This window comes from Homo sapiens, chromosome 15 (assembly GCF_000001405.40).
Source record: "Homo sapiens chromosome 15, GRCh38.p14 Primary Assembly".
NCBI classification, from domain to species: Eukaryota; Metazoa; Chordata; class Mammalia; order Primates; family Hominidae; genus Homo; species Homo sapiens.
The window spans coordinates 94,010,132-94,028,136 of record NC_000015.10 but is presented as its reverse complement, the minus strand read 5'-3'; the positions used below and the strand labels follow the sequence as shown (position 1 = coordinate 94,028,136).

Sequence of the window (18,005 nt, the reverse complement as noted above, 5' to 3'; positions counted from 1 at the left end):
CAGGCTGTTTCTCAAGAATATCTCCACTATGCTATATTGCTTCCCTTGCAACTCCATTCCAGAGTCTCCTGACTCCTAAAAATCCAGAAACATGTCTCCAAGCAAAGCTAAATCAGTGCAGTATCAGAGAAAACGGCAAAAGTTAGTCATTGTCTGTGAAAACTCTTTCTAAACTCAAATACCATTTATGAATTCCTCTCTCTCTTCTAACATAGATAATTCACATTTATTTAGCATTTTTGCCTAAGTTAGCTCTTTGCTGATCATACTGGGGAAATGGCACCCTATTATTTGGGCCATCTTATCCAGCTGAACATTCTAATGCATTACTAATTCCAAAACAATTTTCTATGCCTGCAATGTCCACAATGATAGCCACTAACCACATATGGCTCTTGGGCACTTGAAGTGTGGCTAGTCTGAATTGAGATGTGGTGTAAGTGTGAAATACATACTGGAATATAAAATCTTTGTGTAAAAAATAAAAGCAGTATCTCGTGAATAATTTTTTTACTGAGTACATGTAAAAAATACTATCATGTAGAAATGACAGTATTTTGTATCTACTGGGTTAATTATGTTATTAAAATGCAATCACTCTTGTAATGTGGCTAGTAGCAAATTGTAAATTACATACGTGGCTCACCTTATATTTCTGATGGACAGCGCTGGCCGCTATAATCATAGCAATATCAGTTCAGTCTATCAGCTTTGAGGTGAATTGTTCTACTAGAGTGTATAATATTCTATTCTGTGAGACGGGCAAATGCTATCCTTTTTTATTTCTAGAACTTATTTCTAGCATTGGGTCTTCATGAAATTATGTCCTTTGAGAATGGTATGCAGTTCTGTGGTGGGGGATGCCCAGGCAAATCTGTAAAGGTCAGTCTTATGGTTCAGCATTGGGACTTGCTTACAACAGCACATTGTCTAAGCCAGACTTGGGCTCTCTTATGTGCTTGCATTTGTAGCAGCAATTATGGTTTCCAGGGTCAGACACTTTCAGGCAGTTAATAACCAGTTTGACTAAAGGTCCATCAGCTTCCTAGCCATTCATTAAATCCTAAGAAATGCCTTACCCCAAGGTCAATACTGCTTAGCTCAGTCATACTTTATGATTGAAAGAATGCCTTCCTCTTCCATTGTCAATAGTATTGATTGGCAGTTCTTTGGGTGGCCTGGTCATTTTTATTTGTCCCCCTTTGTTTTCAACTGTTAAGGAGATGACATCATCTTTTCTCTGACAATATGGAATTATTGCAATGCTGAAAGCTGAGTACAAGGAGGTCCACTGTCAAACTTTGGACCTCACCTCTTCATTATTATTGCAGAGTGACTCACAGGGGAAAGGAAATTCAGAGGAACAAGGGGGCCCATGCCATAAACTCTACAAATCACCAGGCTGATAAACCACCATCTTTACCACCAGTCACAATGCTCCCATTAGACTCAAACAGAAGAGTAGGTATGACTAATTCTTCCCTTTGCCCGCCAAAAATAAATCACAGCACTGAGCTGGAATGAGACACAGACTTTTCCAGGATGAAGAGTTGAGTTGGAGGCTGAGACATAGGAAACATTTTGAAAAGGAGCCAGGCAGCTTGAGCAGAGGATTGCTGAACACGCTCCCCAGACCAGATCCTTCATGAAAGCTGGGTTGTTAGAAGCAGCTGCCAGGACTTGCAGGATATGGTGGCAGGTACAGCATTTTACTAGACATGAAATATGTATTGTCCTTGTCAAAAGGCTATTCCCTAATCCATTTACATAAGCCTCTGTCCTTCAAAGACTTTTACAAATTGTTCATGTTCAGCGATCATTCCAGTTCTTCCCAAAAGCCATATATCTATAATTCACAGCAGCTTATGTACAAATATTTTGTTTGCATCTGATTCACTGATGTTCAACTGCATGACGCAAGGCAAGCAGTACCCGGGATGTAAAAGGTAGCAGAAAGAACCTGGATACTGGGATCAGGCAGATTGAACTATAATGTTTTATTTTTAATTTTGGATTTCTCATCTGTAAAATGGGAGCATTTATATGATTTGGTAGAATAAAATGTATAAAAGATCTATTGCAGTGCTAGTACCAAGTAACTATCATCATAATGTTTGGGGTTAGTCCACAGTAGAATGAAATGGCTGAAGCTTTTCATTATTTTTGGTAAGAATCAATACATTTATCAAGCCAGAACAATGACTTACACTGTTCTAGGAGTTACCTCCAAATCATGACTGGTTATTTGGAAACACCAAAAAATGAATTTCTTTTATGATTAAAATTATTATTGTACTTATCTAATCCTGACATTTTGGAATAATGTGGTATAATTTAGCATCAAAGATCAAGTTTAGAAAAGTCATTAGGAAGATGATGAAGATTTAATTCATGTAAAACTTCTTGGTGTTCACTTAGCTCATGCTTCAGTTTCATAATATACAGCCTATCACTGTGGGACGGACATCTGTCCTTTATACAGGTTGGAGAAGACAGAAATGAAAACAATACATTCTGGAGTGACAGGTCCTTGCATATAAATCCTAGTTCTATCCCTTAACTACTGCATGACCCGTGGTAAGCACCTCTCTGTACCTCGGATCCCTGACATATAAAAGAGAATAATGGTCCCAAAGAGATATTTGCACACCGATGTTCACAGCAGCATTATTCACAATAGCCTAAAGAGGGAAGCAACCCAAATGTCTATGGAGAAATGATTGGATAGACAAAATATGGCATATATACAATGAAATATTATTCTGCCTTAAAAAAGAAAATTCTGACATATGCTACAACATTGATGAACCTGGAGGACATTATGCTAAGTGAAATAAACCAGTTATAAAAGGACTAACACTTGATGATCCCTTCTACGTGAGGTATCTAGTGTAATCAAATTCATAGAGACGGCCAAGCACGGTGGCTCACGCCTGTAATCCCAACACTTTGGGAGGCCGAGGCGGGTGGATCACGAGGTCAGGAGTTTGAGACCAGCCTGGCCAATATGGTGAAGCCCCGTCTCTACTAAAAATACAAAAATTAGCCAGGCGTGGTGGTGCACATCTGTAATCCCAGCTACTCAGGAGGCTGAGGCAGGAGAATCTCTTAAACCCGGGAGATGGAGGTTGCAGTGAGCCAAGATTGTGCCACTGCACTCCAGCCTGGGTGGCAGAGCGAAACGCTGTCAAAAAAAATAGTGAAAAAGAAAATTCATAGAGATAGAAAGTAGAATGGTGGTTGTCATGATCTGGTGGGAGGGAAGAGTGGGAAGTTGTTTAATGGGTATCAAGTTTGCAAGACAAAAAGAGTTATGGAGATGGTTGGAGGTGATGTTTGTACAACCATGTGATTGTACTTAATGCCACTGAACTGCACACCTAAGAATAGCTGAGATGGTAAATATTATGTTATGTTTACTTTACCACAACTTTAAAAATTAAAATAAAAAGCTGAATAACAATATTAATTTCTTTACTTTTTTGTTGTTGTGTTGATTAAATGGACTAGTGTCTTCCATAATTTAGCCCAGTGCTGGGCACATACATACCAGCCCAATAAATTGTAGGTATCAAAAAATACAAAAATAAAAACAAAACACCAAAAACTAGCAATGGATATTTTTTGGATTCACAACTCTTGGCTCTGAGCTAAGACTGTTAAGGCTGAAAACAAGCTTAAAGTGTTCCCCAAACCTGGAGCGAGACAGCAGTTACGGGCGAGCCATGGTGAAGTCCTCAGCAAGACAACACTCCATCTTAGCCAAGGTGAGTGTGTGTTTCTTATAGTTCAGACAGAATGCAAAATAGCAAGTGGTGACAAAGAGGACAAGCAAGGTGCCTTAGGACGTGCCTGAGGGGAAAGGTCAGAAGGAAGTCCTCTGGATGGTGTCCCACTGTGGCGGGAGGTCACTGGGTGTGCCTGAAGTCCAGTCCTCAGAACACAGCCCCTGACGCTCAACCAGGCAGTAAATTTCCCTCATTATAAATGCCCTTCACAGTCCTTCACTCACTTGGATATGTCTTTTCCCTGAAGCTAACAAGCTTGGCAAACTTGCTCTTTTTCATAAAACATGGTGCCACTAGGAATATTTAGGAAAAAAAAAAAAAAAAGAATGTTTCCTAAGCAGCTGAGATGGTTGAGTACCTGTCAGGTTTGCAGGGGTCATCTCACACCGGGATATGCCCAAGCCCAGCTGAGGCTACCTAAGGTCGGGCAGCAGGAATCTTTCTCAAGGGGCTGGGTTAATTTGCTCTTTCAGTTCACTTGCACCATCCCTGCAAATCTGGCCATGCTCTCTTCCTAGTGATCTAAAATATTCCAGTTTTTAATTAGTTCCAGGCCAGTCAATGCGACTGCCCCATCCACACAATGCATTTGTGCCAATTCAAAGTCTGAAGCCGATGAACTAATACAGCCAACTGAAGACCTGTTGAAGGAGGCAAATGGGGCCGTGCTGCTGCTGGAAAATTTGCCTGGAGTGCCTGCCAGCCCCTGGGGCCCTTTCCAAGCCAGGCCTGAACCACAGGCCTGTTAGGAAAGGACTGCTGGATTCAGCCCTTACCTCTTCAGAAACCAAAGGGTAATTAAAGCATGGGATGCAAATTCCCCACAATATGGGGGATGTGTCCTATGATCTATAACATTATTGGCCCAGCACATGTTAACAGAAGTCATGAGCAAAATCCACAAAGGCCCAGCAGGATGGAGAAAAAAATTAATACAGGTACAGTTCCTTCTAAATATGTAGCCTCATTTGCCCCTGAAATACAGAGCCAAGCCATTTGAGTCTGCAGCTCCGTTTCACCCTTTGCTTCTGTATTGGATAGCTTTAGGGAATTTTACATCCAAAATTGTCTCTTAATAGTATTGCTTGGCATTTCTTAATTATGAAAAGGAAAAAATTCATATATCACATATATGTGTAATGTATGCTTGTGTATATGTGTGTATACATATAATTTGAGTTTGAATTAACATATTTAAATTCTGTATGTTTCTTCATATTACATTTTAATACAACACTAATGTGTAAATCATAACCCCCAAAATAAAATAATATGCATCTGGTAAAATTTCTCATGTCAGCCAGGATTATGTTTGCTACAATTCAATTCAGGTTTTATTAGACACACCGTGAATGTTAAACTTTCTCATTTTAAGTGCTCTCTAAAAACACACTTTTCATTCATTCATTCATTCATTTATCCATTTGATGTATATTTCTTGAGTATGTGTAGCCACTATGTGTCAGGCTAAACCTACCATTTAGCAGTGAACAATAAAAAATTCATAGATGAAACTCCCTCCTTCATGGAACTTATAATGTCATGATATTATTTACCTTCTTTTTTAAAAAGAAAATAAATGCATCCCGAATACTGAAGATTCTCAAGTGATTATTGCTAATTGTCATATGGTCATCATTTCTCTCAGCTTTTAAATCATATTTACAAACTCGGTGGGTGATCTTTGACTTTGACAAGTCCTCAATGTCATTGTCATATCACAGTGGAAATGGTATTGACCCCACACCTCTGCCATACTGCAACTCAGTGACTAATCCCACAAAGACCCTCTGGGGCTCATAATGGTTGGATCACACTTTTCATTCAGGAAGTATATGCTTTCCCAGCCTGGCATGGATACAAATTTTGGTTGAGATAGTAGGAAAAAGCACGGTCATTTTCACTGAACTGAATTAAAAAAGCAGTCACAAGATGGTTGGGTGCAAATCCCTCTGGGGGGAGAAAAATGAAACAGAGACTCCTTGTGTCTCAATGACCCTGGTGCCCCAACATCAAGGTCTCATGTCAGGTTGGCGGTACTCCCGTCCTCCTCTCACTGCTCTTCAGCATCCTGCCAGATTGCTCCTGACACTGCTCCAGCCCAGGTTTAAGGAGGAAAATGTCACATTTTACACTCCTGAGGATTTCTCCCGGCAACCTTCTGCTCCATACCACACCACAGTCTTACTTCCCAGTGTACAGCCTAATCCCTACTCTTGCAACTTCCCGAGTAGCTTCTCCCAACCCCTGGATGTCTGGTCACTGAAGAAGAATGTCATCACAGAGCAGGAAGAGTTTATCACAGAGGATCAGGTAGAAGGACAGAAATGTTTTGCTATGTGTCTATTAGAAATTCTTCTTTACCAAGACAGTAAAAAACCAAAAGAAAACTGGGAAGCAGCAGATCTGGCTTCACCTAGTCAGAATGAGCTAGACTTACCTATGACCTGCAGTGTTGACCAGGACTGTCAGTTAAAACTAAACACATTTCACAGTGGCAGCCAGCCAAAAACATAAATTCTGCCAAAAACTAAACACTGCACAAGGTCTGCCTAGTTTCAAAACATCTATGCCAACCCCACAATACACAGTGTGCTGTGAGTGTGATTTTGCAGAACCGCTGCAGGGACAGTCTGAAGGAAGGGGGTCAGCTCTGAAGGCCAGCAGCTCTCTAGGTTTGGGGAAGGGTCTTGGGATTTCTCTTTACCTCCTATGACATAATAAAAGCCAGGTGTGGGGGGAATGTCTATTAAAAAGGGTCATTTGGTTGGGTCATATGCCCACTAAATAGCTTTAAGAAAGGAAGTTTTCAGAGAGCCCCGGGGGAAGCATGAGTAGTCTTTCTGGGTCACCTCTTTAAGATAGTTGAGGTTGCAAGTAAAAGCAAAGTATACCATTGTAAGAAGGCTTAGCTTAAGGAAATAAGGACTATTGTTTTGTTTTATTGCTTATTTTAAAATTAGATGAGTCTTAGAAAACATAACGGCCTCAGACTTGTGGATTTTGCATCCCAGGCTAGGAAAGGCATGATGACATTTGGGAACCACATGGATATATCTAATGGCTTGAGAGCGTGAGAATCCATCAATAAAGGGCATACATTGTCTAAGAATATAAATACATGTGCATATTTTACTGCCTGTGTTTAACAAATATATTTGAGACATTTCTCTGTGCTGGGTCCTGAGGGTGAAACAATGAACGGTTCTCTCTGAGCACTTAAAAATTTTGTGGGAGATGGAGACAAGCAAGTAGGAAGCTGTGGAGGGTGGGGTGAATGCTAGCAGAAGGACAAGCACAGAGCTCTGTTGGGGTGGAGAGGAGGGACATCTTACTCCATCATAGGGGGGCGGGGAGTCAAAGAAATCAAAGGACTTTCTGGAAGGATATGAAGGACTATGGGAGTCAATTTAATGGAGAAGAAAAGAAAGAATTAATAGTGAGCTTATTGGCCAGGAGCAGTGGCTCATGCCTGTAATCCCAGCACTTTGGGAGCTGAGGTGGGTGGATCACCTGAGGTCAGGAGTTCGAGACCAGCCTAGCCAGCATGGTGAAACCCCATCTCTACTGAAAATACAAAAATTAGCCGGGTGGTAGTGCTGTGCACCTGTAATCCCAGCTACTTGGGAGGCTGAGGCAGGAGAATGGCTTGAACCTGGGAGGCAGAGGTTGCAGTGAGCCGAGATCACGCCACTGCACTCCAGCCCAGGAGACAAGAGAGAAACTCCATCTCAAAAAAAAAAAAAAAAAAAGAGCTTCTTATAGTTGGATTCCTCTTCAATTCCAGATTAGAATTTCAGTTTTCATGCTCATCATAGTGAAGGACCCTGAACCAAGGTCTTCTTGATGAGACATTATTATGCAGCCCCACTTCAGCTGTTTCTTTTTCACAAAAGATACTGACTTCCTTCTCCCTGCTCCGTGCCAATGACCTGAATTACCAGCCTCAGATTGCAATCCTATTTCAAAGAGGACTTCCCTGCTGCCTTCAACTCCTGCTTAAACACAACTAGCCTGGAGGAGTCTGTTCTAGTTCTCCACCCATATGAAAAGACCAATCAGAGTATCAATGCCCTTTGGTAAATACTAAAGTAGTCACATCTCCGGGAAGCATAATTTGGATCTGCTGGGCAATCCGTGAGACATCATACCCTCCTCCGCAATCCTCTATTTCAACTTCTTTCCAAAAAGCTCATGACAATCAGGTCCTATTAGGCTTTGTGATTGAAGCTATGTAAGTTAAAAGCCAAGTGTGGTGGTGTCTCTGTAGTCCAGATGCTCAGGGAGGCTGAGGGAGGAGGATCACTTGAGGCCAGCAGTTTGAGGCCATAGTGCACCATAATTGTGCCTGTGAGTAGCCATAGCTCTCCAGCCTGGGCAACATAGCAAGGCTCCATCTCTAAAAATAAATAAATTAATTAAAAACTAAGTAAATTATGAAGCTTAATTCAGTGTTTTGTTGTTGTTGTTGTTGTTGTTGTTTTTGAGACGGAGTCTCACTGTCCCCCAGGCTGGAGTGCAGTGGCACAATCTCGGCTCACTGCCAGCTCCGCCTCCCGGGTTCACGCCATTCTCCTGCCTCAGCCTCCCGAGTAGCTGGGACTACAGGTGCCCGCCATCACGCCCGGCTAATTTTTTTTTTTTGTATTTTTAGTAGAGACGGGGTTTCACCGTGTTAGCCAGGATGGTCTCGATCTCCTGACCTCATAATCCGCCCGCCTCGGCCTCCCAAAGTGCTGGGATGACAGGTGGGAGCCACCGCGCCCGGCCCAATTCAGCGTTCGATATTTGAAGACGATCTGGGTCAGAGGAGACCGCATGAAAAAAGAGTTTGGGGTTTTAGGGCAGTAAAGTTTACCAACTAACACCTGCGGACTTGCCCTCTCTTATTTCCCCACTAAAATGTGTATAAGTGCACAAGAGGAGGTGCAGAAATGGCAAAATTAAAGCCGAGACTACTGACTGTGGGCTGTCTCCCTGTGGGAAGACTTTCTCATCCTTGGCTAGGATGGCCTAACCAGGGGAGGCTTTTAACCAGGTTCTGACAACTGGAGTTACTTCAATTCCTTTGATCTTTTTTAAAAGTTAGTATCTCGGGCCCGGGCCAGGCCCAGTGACTCACGCCTGTAATCTCCGCACTTTGGGAGGCTGAGGCGGGCAGACTGCTTGAGGTCTGGAGGTCAAGACCAGCCTGGCCAACATAGTGAAACCCCGTCTCTACTGAAAATACAAAAATTAGCCGGGCGTGGTAGTGGGCGCCTGTAATCCCAGCTACCCGGGAAGCTGAGGCAGGAGAATCGCTTGGAGAATCACTTGAAGCCAGGAGGCAGAGGTTGCAGTGAGCCGAGATTGTGCCATTGCACTCCAGCCTGGGCAATAAGAGCGAAACTCTGTCTCAAAAAAAAAAAAGTAATATCTCAAAATATGTATTTATCTTCCAATATGTGAAATAATCCTGTATGAAAAACATGCAGTATTTATTTCACTCATCTAGACCCCAAATTCATGTTCCTCAGTAGCAAACACATACAATTCTTTCGATTTTTCTACTGGTATATAACCAACATGTTTGATATTTTCATTTAGAGAGATTATCTATTGTCTTCCACTAAAGACGATGAATATTTAATTGCTCTTACATTCTCCCCACCTCCAGAGTGGGGGGAAGAAGAGATACATCTTCTTCCTCTCTTCCATCATTTCCAGACTCTCAATAGGAGAATTCTGTTTGCATTATGATTGTACATGCTACCTAATGTTCACGAACTAAATTCTGCAGTGTGCTAGGATTATATTTATTTTCTTGCACAAAACTTTGGTTTTCTGGAGATTTTTGTTTATTTATTTATTTTATTTTTGAGATGGAGTTTTGCTCTTGTTGCCCAGGCTGGAGTGCAGTGGCGCCATCTCGGCTCACCGCAACCTCCGCCTCCCGGGTTCAAGCAGTTCTCCTGCCTCAGCCTCCCGAGTAGCTGGGATTACAGGCATGCTCCACCATGCCCGGCTAATTTTGTATGTTTAGTAGAGATGGGGTTTCACCATGTTGGTCAGGCAAGTCATGAACTCCCGATCTCAGGTGATTCGCCTGCCTCGGCCTCCCAAAGTGCTGGGATTACAGGCATGAGCCACTGCGCCCAGCTGAGATTTTTATTTTTTGTTTGCTTGGCTTGTTACGTGGTTGTTAGCAATTCTTCTTCCACAAAAACTCTGATAGACAAGGTACAACACATCCTCAGGAAGTCAGACACACCAGGTAATCTATGAGGCCCATCTTATACATGTTACTCCCAGAACCCTCTCTCCTCCAGCTCCAATCTGGGCTGGCTGGGTAACGAACAACACTAAACTCAGCGGCTTTATACAACATCCATTCTATCATCTCTCACGGTTCCATAGGTTGCTCAGCTGAGCAATTCTGACTAGGGTATCAAGACCTCAAGACTCCCTCCATCTCATCAGGCCTCAGGTGGCTCCATGTGGTGAGCTTGGGCCTCCTCATAGAATAGCCATCTCAGGGTTATTAAACTGTTTGGCTTTCTCCAGTATTCAAAAGCCAAAGGTACCAGATTTCTCAATGTTTGGACCTCAAAAGTCCCAGAATGTAATTTCTACTCAATTCTATTGTTCACAACAGTCACAAAGCTAGTCCAGACCTAAGAGAAGAAGGAATAAGCCCCACCTCTTCCCAGAGTCATAGGAAAGCCGCATTGCAAAAAAGGATGTGAGATGGGGGACTACATGATCAGCTATAGCTGTGTACCTTGTAATTCATGAAACCTCCCTCTCCCATCATTTTGATAGTTTCCTTTACCATCATCTAGAGCACATTTTCCAGTGTGGTGGTCAATAGGCACATGAAGTTATTTAAATTATTATTATTATTATTGAGATGGAGTCTCACTCTGTTGCCAGGCTGGAGTGCAGTGGCATGACCTCAGCTCACGGCAACCTCCACCTCCTGGGTTCAAGTGATTCTCCTGCCTCAGCCTCCCGAGTAGCTAGGACTACAAGCTCATGCCACCACGCCCAGTTAAGTTTTGTATTTTTAGTAGATACGGTGTTTCACCATGTTGGTCAGGATGGTCTCCGTCTCCTGACCTCGTGATCCACCCTCCTCAGCCTCCCAAAGTGCTGGGATTACAGGTATGAGCCACCACTCCCAGCCAGAAGATGTCTTTACCTATTCTGTGATAGAATCATTATTCACTTGGTCCCACATCTTTCTCTTTATAGTTTTATTCCTTTACTTTAGTGGAACACATCAATAAGTATATTCTAAGAAATGCCATATAGGTATCAATTTTTCAGATGTTATATGTCTGTATATGTCTTTATTATTCTTATATTAATTAAAAATGTTAAACTTTTACGTTAGCTTCAGGGGTACACGTGAAGGTTTGTTACATAGATAAACTCATGTCACGGGGGTTTGTTGTACAGATTATTTTGTCACCTAGGTATTAAGCCCAGTACCCAATAGTTACCTTTTCTGCTCTTCTCCCTCCTTCCACCCTCCTCCACCTCGGAGTCTGTTGTGTCCTTCTTTGCATGTATAAGTTATCATTTAGCTCCCACTAATAAGTGAGAACGTGTGGCATTTGGTTTTCTGCTCCTGCATTAATTTGCTAAGGATAATAGCTTCCCGCTCCATCCATGTTCCTGCAAAAGGCATGATCTCATTTTTTATGGCTGCATAGTATTCCACGGTGTGGTGTATATGTACCACATTTCCTTTATCCAATCCGTCTAAATGGGCATTTAGGTTGATTCCATGTCTTTGTTATTGTGAATATGTGGCAATGAACATTTGCCTGTATGTGTATTAATGGTAAAATGACTTATATTCCTCTGGGTATATACCCAGTAATGGGACTGCTGGGTTTAATGGTAGTTCTGCTTTTAGCTCTTTGAGGAATCGCCATAGTGCTTCCCACAATGGTTGAACTAATTCACACTTCCACTAACAGTGAACAAGATTTCCCTTTTCTCCGCAACCTCACTAGCATCTGTTATTTTTTGACTTTTTAGTAATAGCCATTCTGACTGGTATGAGATGGAATTTCGTTGTGATTTTTGACTTGCATTTTTGTAATGATCGATGATATCCATCAGTGATTAAAATTTTGAAAAGATTACATTTTGGGGGAAACATTTTCCCCAGGGTTTTGAAGGCATTGCTCTATTCTCTTTAAGCTTACAGTGTTGCCTTGAGAAGTTGGTAGACCTTCTGATTCCCACCCTTTATATGTGACTCTTCTCTCTATATATCTTAAAACATTTAAGATTAGGAAAATCATCTTCATTGTTCTGAAATTTTATAAGGATATGACCTGACAGTCATTTTTCACTTATGACATTGGATGCTCAGTGGGCCTTTTCAATCTGGACAGTCATGATCTTCAGTTCTAAAATGTGTTCTATGTAATTTATTTTATAATTTTCTTTTCATCATTTTCATGACAGGACCCCATATGTCAACATCAATAGGTCTTTTTTCTTTGACACAGTATGTTTCTTTAGAAAGGTGTTAAATTTATTTAACAAGTAAACATATTTAACAAGTAAATTTAACACCTTTAAAGTAAGATGCCATTGGCCTGAGGCAGTCCCCACACCTTGAGTTTCTACTTAATGAACTGCAACCAAAGCCAGCAGACAAATGAACCAAGATCTAACTATGTATTTCTTGTAACACATAGTAGGGTCTCAGCCAACTACAAGCAGCCAAGTTTAAGCCAGTCACGGGCTGTCAACTGATCAAACCATGTCCAAGGAAGACAAATGCCTAGCTGTAACCCATAAAACTATTTCTGTATAACACTTCCATTTTCAGTCTATAAATACCATTCATGTTGTGAAATGAAGCATGAAGCTCTCTGAACCACTTCCGGTTCTGGTTCTGAGTACTGCCTGATTCATAAACAGTTCTTTGCTCAAATCGACTCTGTTAATTTTTATGTTATTTTATTTACTTATTTATTTATTTTTGAGACGAAGTCTCGCTCTGTCACCCAGGCTGGAGTGCAGTGGTGTGATCTTAGCTCACTGCAACCTCCACCTCCCAGATTCCAGAGATTCTCCTGCCTCAGCATCCTGAGGAGCTGGGATTACAGGCACGCACCACCACATCTGGCTAATTTTTGTATTTTTAGTGGAGACAGGGTTTCACCATGTTGGCCAGGCTGGTCTCGAACTTCTGACCTCAAGTGATCCGCCCACCTCGGCCTCCCAAAGTGCTGAGACTACAAGTGTGAGCCACCGGGCCTGGCCAATTCTGTTAAATTTAACTTGTCCAGAGTTTTCTTTGGTTTGTTTTGGCTTTTTGAGTTTTGCTCTAACAAAGAATAAAGCCCATACTGTCTTATTTGAAGTATGTGCTGCTCTTGCTGGCATCCTGGGAGCAGAGCAGGAGGATAGCAGTTGGATTCAATAGGTAAAATTTTGTTAATTTTTCTTCTTCTTTTCTTTTTTTTTTTTAAATTCTGGAGCCCTCCACACACCCCTCCCCTTTTCCCCTCTCAACCCCTTGGCCACCTTCACTTGTGCCTGATACTGCTGTGTCTAGAGCCTCCTGGGTTAAAACTCTTGATACAGAAAGCGTCGTATCTTATACAGGGAAGAAGAGGAGTAACCATCTCATTCCATGGGCTGTGAAGGAAAATGGAAAATCTCGCTGATCCTTATATACACTTCCATCAGTTTTCTTGTGTCAGGTCAATCCCACACCTTCCTTAAGTGGCACCTCAAATTCAGGACCTCTCCAAGGTTCTGTACCATGAACAGGCATGTAATGTTTTGGCATTCCTCCTTGCATGTACTGAGGAACTTTCTCCGCTTTGTCCAGGCAGTTGCTAGCCATCCAAAGCCGATCTGTTGGCATCTAATGGGCTTTCAGGAGGGAGTAGAGATAAGCCTAAGTAAGAACTTGTTTTCTGAAGTATCTAATTTAGGATTTCTTTCCTTCCCCACCCCAACTTATATTTTTGTCTTGATATCCATATGGAGATCAAAGTTCCAAGATATGTAAAACAAACAAAACAGGAAGAAGTTAGGAATGATATCCTTGGATATAAAGTAAGAAAGAGACTGGCGCTGGAAGAACAGATTTTGTAAAGTCTCATTTCAGATGTTATTCTTCGTACACCTTTTCAGCAGGAGGATAAAAACAGATTAAAATGTTAAAAAAAAAAAAAAAAAAAGGCATGAAGAAGCTGGGTGCGGTGGCTCACGCCTGTAATCCCAGCACCTTGGGAGGCCAAGGCAGGCAGATCACGAGGTCAGGAGATTGAGACCCCATCTCTACTAAAAATACAAAAAATTAGCCGGGCGTGGTAGCGTGTGCCTGTAGTCCCAGCTACTCGGGAGGCTGAGGCAGGAGAATGGCGTGAACCCGGGAGGCAGAGCTTGCAGTGAGCCGAGATGGCGCCACTGCACTCCAGCCTGGGGGACAGAGCGAGACTCCGTCTCAAAAAAAAAAAATTAAAATTAAAATTAAAGCATGAATAAATTGATATAGTAAGAGGGCTAAGCAGTAGTACTTACTGATTCTTATTTTGTAGGCCAGAAGAAGAATACCGACTAAATATCTGCCAGTCTGTTGAAATTGTAAAGGGAATGTCTCCCAATATGCACTTCGGCTTAAGTAGGGAGAGCACCACACTAACCAAAGGAAGAGGTTAAGGACCCATTTGAAGGATGAGGATCCACATGAGGATCCAAACCCAGATGCGTCTTCTGCATGTCATGTGTGTACACACGTGTGCGAATTCCTAGGCATACATGTTAGTTCTCCTTCACATAAACTGGTCCATTGTACAGCAGAGGTGAAATGCTTCCCCTTTCATCTGTAAACATTGTAAAACTCTCTACCAAAAACTTCAAAAGTCCCCTAAAATTAAATATAAAGTCTGATTTTACATATGATTATAAATGCAAAAATATTAAATAAATGCATGAGCCACTGCACCCAGCAATTCACATCATTTTTTAAAATATATATATTTAAAAATAAAAACGAAGATGATTGATTCTAATATGATAAAGAACATACTATTTGGAATGTAAAAAAGCACCAAATAAAGTTTGATGCTTATTTGGAAAACTGAGTTTAGGTAACAGTGTTTAAAGCATGTTAAGTAACAGGTCAAAAGAAAACAAAGGTTCAAGTCTATAATCCCAGCACTTTGGGAGGCCGAAGCGGGTGGATCACCTGGGGTTAGGAGTTCAAGACCAGCCTGGCCAACATGGTGAAACCCCGTCTCTACTAAAAATACAAAAATTATCTAGGCGTGGTGGTGGGCACCTGTAATCCCAGCTACTCGGGACACTGAGGAAGGGGAATTGCTTGAATCGGGGAGGCAAAGGTTGCAGTGAGCAGAGATCACAACATTACACTCTAGCCTGGGCGACAGAGAGACTCCATCTCAAAAAGGAAAAACAAAAACAAAAAATTCTTATTTGCAGAGCAGCTCAGAGGTTTTTATATGCTAATTATAGAATGAATTTGAATTTCAAAGGTGAATTTCCAAGAAGCTATTTAATAGCCAATTTCACTGTCAATCCTCTTCCCCTCCCTGCCAGCATGCTTTAAGACTCATTTTTCTTATGACAAGGGTGTTAATTCTTACCACTATAATATGAATTAACATTGTTCTGGAAGATTCAGCCAATGCAATGTTCCATGAGGTCATGAGTATTATAAAGCATGATGATAATTTATCAATTTTTGCAAGTGACTTACTTGCCTTCTCAGTAAAACTAAGTGAATCAACTAAATATTATATATAGTGGAAAAACAACCTCTTTCCTAATAGCAAAAATAACAAAATGATACGTAGGCACAAGTCGAGCAAGACCTGGGTACAACAATAAGACACAATGTAATTTTACCAATAGACACAGAAGTCCTGGAGAAATAATGCAATAGAATGTTACTGGATAAGAGTGGTACACAGATGTTAGTTTTCCGGAAAGAATTTTAGGTTTAATACAATAAAAGTCACAACGCAATCTAGGTGGGAGTAACAGTAGAAAGGGAAATGTTTGATTATATGGCTCTAAAGAATATTTGAGGGAATAAATACTAAATAATTGCCCCTTATTCAATCATGTAAGAGGCAAGGAAAATTGATCAGCCAATCAGATATTAAAACATGTTGTAAAGCTGCTCTCTGTAAGGTTATACTAATAAAGGAGCACATAGGGAGAAAAATGAAATAGAATTGATGGTATAGAAACAGCCTTTTTCAGTACATATCCTTGTGAATATTACCTTGAAACACAATAAACCTGCTATACCAAATAATAAACTTTGCTGGGGCAACTTGTTTACTCTTGGGAAAGATTGAAGATACTGCCTTTCCTCACCACTCAAACTAAAATCCATCAGATAGACTGAGTATTTAAATGTAAAAAGTGAAACCACACAAGAAATGAAAGAAAGCGTAGGTGAAGCTATATCTGATCTTGGAGGGAGAAGGTCTTTCTAACTGTAACACCAAAGGAAAAGGAGAAATGACATCACTGATGGGCTTTCTGACGCTCTGGAGAGGGGAAAACTCTTTACACCAATCGACTTCTTAAGATTAAAGGACAAATACACAGTGGAAAAAACCGAAAAATACGAAGAGTGTTCATCAAAACGAATGACACATAAAGTAAATATAAATATGAATAAACTCATGGTGAATTTACAAAAGTGAAAATATAAATAGTAAATATAAAAGCAAAAGCCCAATGCAGTGATTATCAAAGAAATGCAAATTAAGATATAATGGTGATATGTCATGTTCACTAACAAATTAGCAAAGATTTTTAAATGCTCAAGTTTTGTAATCGAGCAATAGTACGCACAAGCCAAATACTGCTGGTGATAATATAAACTGGTATGGTTTTTTAAGAAAATACTTTAGTATCATATATATTAAGAGTCCTGAAAAAGTTTGTGATTTTTAACCTGGTATTTCTCCTTTCGAGAATACAACCATAAGTCAAAAACATCAATGAAGAATTATGAGTGAAATGTTAATTACATTCCTTATTTATTAATACAAATTTATATGTATTAATGAAAATGGGAGGAAGGTAATTACTCCAAACGTGAAGTATAATCACATATTTTGTGACAGGTCCAAATAATGAAATGTCATAACAACTTTAACATGTATATTTTAAAAGAATATTATTTAATAGCATCAGAAAAGGTCATGCTAAAATGTGACATAAAGAGGCAGGGCACAAACATGTATTGGTAGGATGATCCTGGATCATCTTCAAAGAAAACTGGAGAGAAACAAAAAAATCAGTGTGATTATCAATGTGTGATTTCAAACAAATATTCAAAACTATTTCAGCACTCCCCACCAGCATGCTTTGAGATTCATTTAATGAACTTTTATATGTTAAATGTTAGGTAAACACAGGACATTCTATTGTAAAAATTAGGTTAGTTGAATGCATGAATGTATTCCTCCTGCAGTTTTATTTTACTTCTGGAGAGAGTCTGGGGAGTCTACCCTGAGCTGTGTTTCTGACATGGCATTGCTGCCAGCGTAGAAGCTAAAGAATTGGATAAGAAGAGGACCTTGCCCATCCAATTTTCAAGAGAGAAAAACAGAGGGACTCTAGAAAACTTTCTAGAACTAATGAAAGTACGTAAAATCAGCCATGCAAATTTAAAAGCCTACGTTGTATTAGTAATATTACTTTTCTGAGACAATGGCCTAAACATAGAAAATAAGCATTTTCAGCAAGCTAGACGAACATTTGGGGATAGATCAGTGCATGATGATGCTTCTGTCATAATTTTTAAATGTTCTATCTGTTTACTCATTAGTAAGATCTTATCATCTTTAAAAAACACAGATTTTCATCATTTGTTACATCATTCTCTTACTTTCCTTCCATAGTCAAATATTTTATAGTTGTTTGTGGTAATTTCTGGTTGTTTGTGGTTTATTCCTTAAAAAGTTATTATTTAAGGAATCAATGTGGAAGAAAAATGTATGTGTTATTATTGCTTATGAAACTTTTGAAGTTTGAGGAAGAATCAAGGAATGGTGATGATGTTGGAACTCCCCCTTCCTGAAATAAAAAGCGATTTTAATTTTATTTAACTTGAAATAAACAGCAATTTCCTGAAATAAGCAGGAGCCATTCAGAATTGGGAAAAATTAGCCACATTATTTCGGAAAATAAATCGAGATGCGGAACTTTTCT

The 18,005-nt window shown here is 40.4% G+C and overlaps 1 long non-coding RNA gene across 1 annotated transcript in view, besides 1 other annotated feature; it reads left to right on the top strand.

Annotated features, from left to right (window-relative positions):
- LINC01581 (long intergenic non-protein coding RNA 1581) overlaps positions 1-18,005 on the top strand; it is a 202,536-nt gene that overhangs the window by 79,802 nt on the left and 104,729 nt on the right. The window lies entirely within an intron of this gene.
- Positions 1,303-1,597: a silencer, noted in NCBI's record as "tiled region #6915; HepG2 Repressive non-DNase unmatched - State 22:ReprW, and K562 Repressive non-DNase unmatched - State 24:Quies". NCBI's record gives its function as "represses a minimal TATA promoter and a strong SV40 promoter by Sharpr-MPRA in HepG2 and K562 cells {active_cell/tissue: HepG2 | K562}" and the evidence as "EXISTENCE:reporter gene assay evidence [ECO:0000049][PMID:27701403]".